The 10,029-nt window shown below is 38.1% G+C and overlaps 1 protein-coding gene across 1 annotated transcript; it reads right to left on the bottom strand.

Moving 5' to 3' along the window:
• Positions 1–2,406: 2,406 nt before the first annotated feature.
• SEMG1 (semenogelin 1) lies at positions 2,407–5,142 on the bottom strand. Its single transcript, NM_003007.5, has 3 exons — positions 5,046–5,142; positions 3,445–4,801; positions 2,407–2,574 (listed from the first exon to the last, which is right to left on the bottom strand). The coding sequence occupies exons 1-2, from the start codon at positions 5,119–5,121 to the stop codon at positions 3,489–3,491; spliced, it is 1,389 nt and encodes a 462-aa protein (NP_002998.1). The 5' UTR covers positions 5,122–5,142; the 3' UTR covers positions 2,407–2,574; positions 3,445–3,488.
• Between the last annotated feature and the right edge of the window lie 4,887 nt (positions 5,143–10,029).

The raw sequence follows: 10,029 nt of genomic DNA, 5'->3' as shown, positions 1-10,029 counted from the left end.
GAAGACATTAAGACCTGATGGAGATTTCTCTTTCTTTCTTTCTTTCTTTCTTTCTCTTTCTTCCTTTTTCTCTCTCTCTCTTTCTTTCTTTCTTTCTCTTTCTTTCTTCCTTTTTCTCTCTCTCTCTTTCTTTCTTTCTTTCTTCTTCCTTCCTTCCCTCCCTCCCTCCTTTCTTTCTTTCTTTCTCTCTCTCTCTTTCTTTCTTTCTTCTCTCTCCTTCCTTCCTTTGTTCCCTCCTTCCTTCCCTCCCTCCCTCCCTTCCTCTCTTTCTTCCTTTCTTTCTTTCTCTCCTTGCTTCTTTCTTTGCTTGCTTCTTTCTTTGCTTGCTTCTTTCTTTCTTCTTTTTCTTTCTTCCTTCCTTTCTTTCTTTCTTTCCTTCTTTCTTTCTTCTCTCTCTTTCCTTCCTTCCTTTGTTTCTTCCTTCCCTCCCTCCCTTCCTCTTTCTTTCTTCCTTCCTTTCTTTTCTTTCTTTCTTTCTTTTTCTTTCTTTGCTTGCTTCTTTATTTGCTTGCTTCTTTCTTTCTTTCTCTCTTTCTCTCTTTCTTTCTCTCTCCCCTTCCTTCCCTCCCTCCCTTCCTCCCCTCCTCCCTTCCCTCCCACTCTCTCTCCCTCTCTCCTTCTCTCTCTCTTTCACTCTTTCTCCCTTTTTCCCTTCCTTCCTTCCTTCCTTTCTTTCTTCCTTTCTTCCTTTCTTTTTCTTTCTTTCCTTCTGTCTTTCTTTTTCTTTCTTTCTTCTTTCTTTCTATTTCTTCCATCAGGAAACAATACTTTTATTGTACCTATGAGGCAAAGAAAACAACAACAAATGCTTTGCTGGAGTCATACAGCCAAAGAAATAGAACTAAAAGGAGAATTTATGGTAAGCAATTGCTAATTCTCTACAATTTCTTCCTCACCAAGCTATTGTAGCACAGGGGCCATTCAGCCCTGTATGCGTGTGCTGCATGTGTGTGAGAAGTGGAGATGGGTACCTGTGGGCCCACAGCACAACCACATACATATTTATTGGCTGATCTATACTAATTCTTAGCAATGACATACTTGGTAGATTTTATGACTTCATAATACACACATAACCGGCTGCCTGGCTGTGGTGATGGACAAACATAACTACACCTACTCTTTTGGCTCTTTTGATGAAGCTGACCTACTGACTTTCAAGCTGTTGGCTAGCTTAGGGAATGATTTGCTTCTCCTGGAAGACGTCATGACTCTTAATAAACTTATGGCTCCTTGGTTGTTGTATGTGGGGCCCAGGCTAACCCAACTCTGGGCCTATATGATCCATGGTTTTGAGGGTGGACAACAGTACCAATCTCTACTCCGAGTAGGCCTGTGTCATTCTGAAGCATTCATGTCCATCTGACCTATTCTGGCCCTACCAAATTTACTGCAGCATTAGACACCGTCTTTAAGGTCTTATTGACCTCCTTTCTTTCTTTTTCCTTCCTTCTTACTTCCTTCCTTCCTTCCTTCCTTCCTTCCCTCCTTCCCTCCCTCTTTCCTTTCCTTTCCTTTCTGTCTCTCTCTCTCTCCTTTCTTTCTTTCTTCTCTTTCTCTCTCTCTCTCTTTCTTTCTTTCTTCTTTCTTTCTTTTGAATGTCTACAATTTTGAGTCAATATGTACTATGAAGATTGCTGTGTCAAACTTTTCCATGTTGCAGATGTGGGACTTAAGCTTGCAGGGAAGAACATATTTAGGTAAAGATATACAGGTTATTATGGCAGAATTGGAACTACAATCCAAATCTCTTATTCTTAGGCTTGTGATTTTCTCACTCCCCTATGTTGGCCTCTTCTCCTGAAGGTTTAGATTTCTCTGGAAACTTTTTTAAAATAGAGGGGGAAAAGGCAGTATAGGCAGCAGTATTTCCATTATGAAGACACCACCTGCCTCAAGATTCCTTTGACTGGTCATCTGGTCTTTCCATCCACAGGTGACATTTTAACCCACTTGCTGTTACTGAAGTTGTGCAGATTTAACATATCACCTTTGGTGTAATTGCATCTCAATGGATACTGTAGGCGTAAGACATTCTTAAGCTAATTGAAGGGATGTGCTACTGTGGAATTGATCACCAGCAGATCAGGGACTTTCCCAGGGCCTGTTGCAATACATTTTCTCTTGTCTTTCTGGGATATTTTTAGTTCCTGGGGTCTTATTAGTACCAGGGTCATGAAAGCCTTTAGTGTTGGCCTCAGGTGGTAGACATGTGACTGGTAGACTAACAGCACCCTATTTTTAGTGTTGGTTTCTATCAATATATCTTGAAATGTGGCTTTGATTACTATTCTCCCTAGTGCTTCAAAAATATCCCTTTATTTTCTTTCAAAACCACTTACATTAGAAATGCCCTCAACCCCTTGAGCCACTAGGAATCCAGAGAAAACAGGAGTCAAAAGCAGATGAAGCAGAAAATGATCTCTTTATTGGAAGTTTGAAGGCGCTTCAGGTTAGGAAAGCCTAATTCAAGGAAGCATGGGCAGGTGGTGTCATCCATGGACCAAGAATCTGAAACTACACGGGAGTCTGCATCTCAGAAACATCACAGAATTCACTGAGGTCAACTGACACCTAGAGAGAAAGAAGAGAATCAGTGATGTGAGTATAGTAAAAAGTGAAGGGTGGGGATGGTAGCTGGGCCCCCTGTCCCCTTCAGCTCCAACTGTACCAGCCCTCTACTACTAGGATACCAGGCCACTAGTTGCCAGCTGGGGCCACTGTTTCTACTGCTTGCCCTCTCTTCAAGTGCAGTGTTACTTACTGCAAAGAGGCAGGGAAGCACCATTACCCCTCTCAGGGCTTCAGTTTTCTTCTCCTGATGTTGTAAACACCCAATTGGCCCATGAGATCCCTCACCATCTCTTGTGTCTCCCTTTCCATCTTCTCTTTCACAACATGAACAAGGATCTTTCTACATATCTCTTTCCTGTATTCTGAGAGGGAGGACTGATAGTCTTTGGGCTTGTGGTCTCTGAAGGAGCATAGATGAACCCTAACAGGGATGCAAGAACATTCACTGGTGTGCAGAAAGAAAACATTAATGGCTGTAATCCTTTATACTATATAGGAAAGAAACTGAGGTTTACTAATCTAAAGTATAAGAACTGACAAGAGTATACCATAAACTTATAAATATGCATATGTAGTCAGTACCTGTTCAAAAAAACCTTTAGCAGGTAGGCATATACAAAAAAATATTATTGAAGAATATTCAATTAAGGATAGGAATTCTAGGACCTCATGATAGGCCAAACATCCTTCTGTGCCACTACCAGACCCTCTCCTCACCAGGGAATGGGGAGGCTCATCTTCCTACCACTTGTTATACAGCACTTCTATTGGTGCGAACAATGGTTATCAATCCCACAAAAGTCCTGGAGAGTCCCCAACAATTCTAAACAATGAGAGAGATATCTCCCCTATTTGCTAAAAAAAAATTACCTTGATATTGGTCCATCCTTTCACATGGTTACCGAATGGTAGGTTTATGTAAATAATGGGTTTCGGTCGTTGTTAAGATGTTGTGCCAAATGACGATCACTGTCATCTTCCTGCTCTATAATTACAATATCCAATCCCCCATGAGATCCATGTTGGTGTCTGCCTTTTTGTTCATGACTGAGTAGGTCTTGTTCTCTATTTGTAGATTGGCCAGACTCTCCTTTTGCATTTTCACCATGCCATGGCTCTTGCTTAGGATTTGGTGCCTGGATTTGAGACTTGCCTGCTACTAGCTTTTCAGTTTGGCTATAAATACTGCGTTGGGATACATCTTTCTGCACACCATTTTCTCCATAGTGGAGTCGTCTTTCTTCCGTACTTGAAGATTGGTATGATATTTTATTTGCCTTTTGGCTATGCTCTTGCTCTTGACTGGGAATTGTTATCTGTTTTTGAGACTTGCCCTGTGCTTTCTCTTCAGTTTGGCTATAAATACTGCTTTGGGATACATCTTTCTGCACACCATTTTCTCCATAGTGGAGTCGTCTTTCTTCTGTACTTGAAGATTGGTATGATATTTTATTTGCCTTTCGGCCATGCTGTTGATCTTGATTGAGATTTTTTGTCTGGTGTTGATTCTTGTTATATACTAGGAGCTCATCTTGGGTAGAAAAAATGTCTTTGGATCCATGTTGGAGTTTGTCTTGGTGCGCAGGACAGAGTGAGGTTTGTACTTTACTTGAATGTTCCTCTCTCACTTCAACCACATTTTGGTAATGCCCTTTATTTTGATGAGAATTTTTAGTCTCACGTTGTTGTTTGTTAGCTACTAGCTCTTCAGTTTGGAGAACATAACTGCTTTGGGATCCGCCTTGTTTTCTACCTTTTTGTGCACCAGAGACGGAAGTTTGTTCTTTACTTAGTCCATGAACCCACAGCCTTTCTTCTGTGTTTGAATATTGACTGGATATTCCCTTTCCAGATGGGCTATTCCCCTGATCTTGAGAAGGATTTTGTGTCCCACGATGAGCTTTGCCTCCTTTATGGTGTATAACTACCCTGTGAAAATGACCTTTTGATTTATCATGGTCTCTGCCTTCTTGTTTATTATGGAGCAGTTGTTGACTTCCACCTAGATGTCGTTGTGATTTTGTCGTCTTATGTAGGGCATTCAAATCATATTGCTGACTTTTTCGGGACTGGTCATGATCATTGGCATCTACATGATATGTGTATTGAATAGAAAAACTGCCTTTGGATTCAGTTTGTTGCTTGCCTTTTTGTCCAGAATAGTGCTGGCCCTTTTGTCCGTGTGGAAATTGGGAAAATTCACTTGGTAATCGGCCTTTTGATCCACCTGGTAATTGATAATAAGAAGGTATGCATTCATTATCTCCAAAGCTCCCTTACAACTCTTACCCCCCACTTTTCCCCCAACAAATTATTGATATTTCTAGAAAAGCTGAAGCTTTGGGTGGAGAAAATCAATTCTCTTCAAAGAGAAGAATCTGTGCCTAAACAGGTTACTGTTTGCACCCCAAATAATCTTAGATTATTAGCTGTCTGAGCAGCTTTCCCCAAGGCTTACCCTCTCCACTCACCTTTTTGTCCCATCACAGCTGCTTGCTTCTCCAAGATGAGGAGCAGGGAAAGTACAAAGATGATGTTGGGCTTCATCTTGCTTGGAAAACCTTGTCTGAGAGCTGAGCCGACCTTGTCATTTATATCTTCCTTGAGTGAGTGTGCCATGGGTGGAGCTTAAATTACAAAAGGCACTGACTTTTCTTAGCTTATCAGTAAATGCCAACTTCCTCACCCCTGCTGAGTGTGGGACAAAGTCAATGTCCCCAGCAACATAATGTCAAAGGCATTTTCTTTCTTCTGGCAGCCCCAGCAAATTTTTATCAGTCCTTTTAGATCATCATGCCAGATCACTTTAATTTTACAGAATTATAGACAAAAGTAGGAAAGAGACTGGCTTCAGGCTACAAAAGCAATTGGTTTCTGAGAATGCCTTTATATTCTAAATGTGAGTTTCCCTTCATGATGCAATAATTTAAATACTCTATTTTAGATAGAACTCCATACTTCCTTTTGTTTTAAAAATGATCTTGAGACACGTTCTATTTTACCTAAGAATGAGCAATCATAGAAGTCCAATGATATAGAAGATAATGAAACGTTATGGAATCCAAAGAAAGAAATTTTAAACAAGTAAATGGGGCACTCCAATGTCAAATATGTCTGTCAAGTTCAACACAATAAAGACTGACATGTATCCAAAGTTTTTCTTAGTTGTTGCTAGTAACTTTAATGAGAGATGAATACAATTGCATTGGGTTGTCAGTTGAAGGATGGAGACCAGCTGCAACCTTCTCAGGAAGTCTGAATTCATGGTGGAGTGAGAGCTGAGGCTGTATCTGGAGGGTGAGGTAAGTTCCAGATGTGTTTTCAAAGGATGAAAGAATTTTAATATGCTTTCATGGTGATAGGAACAACTGTTGGAAAAAAAGTAAAAATGCTGGTTTCTAGATTGGGTTCTTTTCATGAAATCTACCTAAACAGCAGAATTTTCTTTTTAATTAAGAGAAGTTTCTACTTCAGTAGTAAACAGCTGAATCCCCAAACAGGCTGTGAGAAATATTTGCCACCATCAATGAATTGAATAATGTATTGTGAGTGGACATGAAGCTAAAATTCCCACCTTTGGTAGAAGCATAGATTTTTCCAATTGTGATGACATCCTGAAAAGTCTGAAGAAACTTTCTTTACTTTGAGTCATAAAGACTTCGTTATGAGCAGACCACAGGAGAAGAAGAAAGCATCCCAACAGTGTCCCTGTGTACATTCAGAACACCTTGGAGGGTAGTGCTGGGGAAAGGATAGCTTGAAAACTTATTTTCAATTATTCTGTCTTAGAATCTTAACCTTCCTGTAGGCAATGCTCTATGGAAGGGGAAAAGAGAAAGGCCAACCACAGAAAAAAAGTGCTATGCTATCAAACATAAATCATGTGAGCTGCATGGTTTCTCTATGAGCCACTCTGAGATCTTACCAAATTTATCTGTTTGCCTCAAAGGCAGTAAGTAGTTCCTTATTGCAGAAACCCCAACAGAGTAAGGTGATATTGTTCTGAACTAAAATTGATTACTGTGTCTGCTAACCACTGTAATCTTCCTCACACTTCCCTTAAGAAAATACCAGAAACTGTTCTGTTCCAAACTTACTGATACAAAATAGAGTCTGAAATATTAATCTTACTTATGGATCAAGAACAAAACTTTCATCTCATCTAGTGTCCAAAAGATGCAGATAAAACAAAAGGGCACAATATTTGCAAAAACAAACCAGGAAAATGCAATCCAAGCAAAACATGTGATTACTATATTCATATTAGAATTGAATTCAATGAAATGTGGAAAAAAACATTTCCAAATGATAAAGGAATGTATTGATAAAGTTGAAATCAGAAATCAGTGATTTGGAAAGCATAAAAATGGTATGGTGATGCATACATCTTAGATATGGAATTATGATGGGGGAAAAGATTAAGTGATCAAATGATTTGTCCTGTTGGACAAATAAAAAATGCAAAAATATTAAAGTGCACTAAATTGGCACAAAAATCTGAAAGTTTTATACTCATAGGAAAAGAAGAAAACAGGAGGACTTAAATGTATTTTGCTCAATTCTATGGGAAATCACTTTACAACTTAGAAAAGATTCAAATATAGTTATTTTTGGGGAATGGGCAGAAAAACCTGGTAGAGTAGGACTCCCCAGAGATTATACCCTCCAAAACGTCGAATTTAATAATTATCCACATATGATAATAGTTTCTCAAAAGCTAAACAGGCCAGATGAGATATTACAGAACCTGATTATAGTATAATAATTAAAAATACACATTGAAGAGGGCACGAAAGACAATTTTGTTTCCTGTATCACCCCTAACCCAATCACAGGCAGCACAGTGCAGAGAGAGCTACTTTCTTTTGGGGGGAAGGGAATGAAGTAAGGCTTGGACTTTTTCACGGAACAAAATACTAGTCTATAATAGTAAAATTCAGCACTGGGAGGACACCCATAGTGACCCTGCTTGAATACCTGTGGCCTAAGCAGCAAGACCTGCCCCAGCAGCAGAGAGGAACACATAGTTCCTGTGAGATAGACTTGCGTTCTTACCTGTACCACTGGCAGCCAACTACAGCAGCCTTGGATTATGAATAACCAACATACGTAGGCAGGTATCAGTGAGGAGGAGTTGGGAATGCATTCCATCATTGTGCCAGCCTCTGCAGCCATGGGTTACAGCCTGGTGCAGAACTGGCCATGGTGGTCCTGGGTTTATGACATCTCCTTGTGCTGCAATGACTGAAACAGTCACAGGCTTACAAACCTAGAACAGATGATCTGCCTAGAATTTCCGGACAGAGTTGAGGGACATTCTCAGACAAAGCCAAACTGGAGTAAGTACCTACCTTAAATTCAATATCTGCATTCAAGTACCTACCTGCAATTCAATAAGTACCTACTTCTTCAATGTGCAGACATCAATGCACAATCACAAGGATCAAGAACAATCGGGGAAAACTGATGACACCAAATTAACAAAATAAGGTACCAAATGAACAAAATAAGATACCATTGATTGGCCCCAAAGACATGGAGATGTATGACCTGCCTGAAAGAGAATTTAAAATGGCTGTTCTAAGGAAGCTCAAAGAACTTTAATAAAATACAGATAAATAATTAAATGAAATGATGAAAACAATAAGTGACCAGAAAGAGAGATGTAACAAAGGGTAAAAATGATAACATTTAATATCTAATGTTAATATAGGAGCTGAAGAATGCAATGAATAAAATGAAAAGTGTGAAAAGTGCAATAGAGTGCATTAACACCAGAAATGATCAAGCAGAAGGAATAATCTGTGAGCTTGAATACAGGTTATTTGACAATATATACTCAGAAAAGGAAAAAAGAAAAAAGAATAGAATGAAGGAAACTTATGAGATGTATGGAATAGCATTAAGTGAGCAAAGGGACAATTTACTGGCATTCAAGAGAAGTTAGAGAAAGATAAATGGAAAAGTAAAGAAAGCTTATTAAATAAGTAATAACAGAAAACTTTCCAAATCTGAGGAGTTCATATATATATATATATATATATATATATATATATATATACACACACACACACACACACATATATACACCCATATATATACATATACATATATACATATATATTATATATATATGTATGTGTCTATTATATATATATATATGTAGTCAAAGTGCAGGATGGTCAACAGTCACCAATCACATTCAATTCAAAAAAGACTAGACATATAATAATTAAACTGTGAAAGATCAAAGACAAATAAATGATACTGAAGCAGCAAAAGAAAAGAAGCAAATAAAATGCAAAACAGTTCCAATACACTTCACATCAGACCTTTTTTTTCTTTTTCAACTGTTATTTTACATTCAGGGGCCAAGTGTGCAAATTTGTTACCTGGGTATATTGCATGATGCTGAAGCTCGGGGTATGAATTTTCCTGTCATTCTGATACTGACTATAATACCCAACATTTAGTTTTTCAACCCTTGTCCCCTTCCCTCCCTCCTTCTCTCCTCTAGTAGTCTTCAGTGTGTATTATTTCCATCTTTATGTTCATGAGTATCTGACATTTAGCTCCCCTCTATAACTGAGAACATGTGGTATATAGTTTTCTCTTCCTGCATTAATCTACTTAGGATAATGGCCTCCCACTGCATCCATGTTGCTGCAAATGCATGATTTTATTTATTTTTTATGACTGTGTAGTATTCCATGGTGTATATACACCATATTTTCTTTATCCAATCCACCATTGATGGGCACCTAAGTCGATTCCATGTTTTTGCTAGTATGAATAGTGCTGCAATCAAATCATATTTCTCAAAGGGAACATTAAAGATCAGAGGAGAGTGGAATAATATTATCAAAGTAATGAAAAAAAAGAAAACCATCCAAGCATACTATACTCAGCAAAGCTGTTCTTCAGAAATGACAGAGAAATGAAAACTTTCCTAGACATACAAAGGTGAGGAAGTATGTCACCATCAGACCTATTTTACAAGAAATGCTAAAGGAGTTCTTCAAGGTGAAAGAAAAGGATGCTAATGAGTAATACAAAATAATCTAAAAGTGTAGAACTCACTAATAAAATTAATTACACAGTCAAAATTCAGAATACTGTGATACTATAATGGTGATGTATAAATCACTTCTATCTTTAGTATGAAGGCTAAAAGATAAAACTTGAAATTAATAATAACTACAATAAATTGTTAATGTATATGGCACATAAAAGCTGTTAATTGTGACATGAAAATATCAAAATGCGGGGAGGGAAGTGGTGGTAAGGTGTAGTTTTATGTTTTGTAATCAAACAAATTATTATCAGGTTAAAATCACTTGTGATAGCTACAGGATTTTTTTTAAAGGCCTCATGTTAGCCACAAAGACAACATTTTTAATAGACGCCCTAAAAATAAAAAATAAGTATCAAAATATACTACTAGAGAAACTAACT

Source organism: Homo sapiens, chromosome 20, assembly GCF_000001405.40.
Source record: "Homo sapiens chromosome 20, GRCh38.p14 Primary Assembly".
Lineage (NCBI taxonomy): Eukaryota > Metazoa > Chordata > Mammalia > Primates > Hominidae > Homo > Homo sapiens.
This window is presented reverse-complemented; position numbering and strand designations above follow the sequence as displayed.

Coding starts and splice junctions, on each gene's coding strand:
- SEMG1 (NM_003007.5), bottom strand. CDS start 5,121: ATGAAGCCCAACATCATCTTTGTACTTTCCCTGCTCCTCATCTTGGAG. Junction 4,802..5,045: donor AGCTGTGATGGGACAAAAAG/GTGAGTGGAGAG, acceptor ATCAATTACCAG/GTGGATCAAAAGGCCGATTA.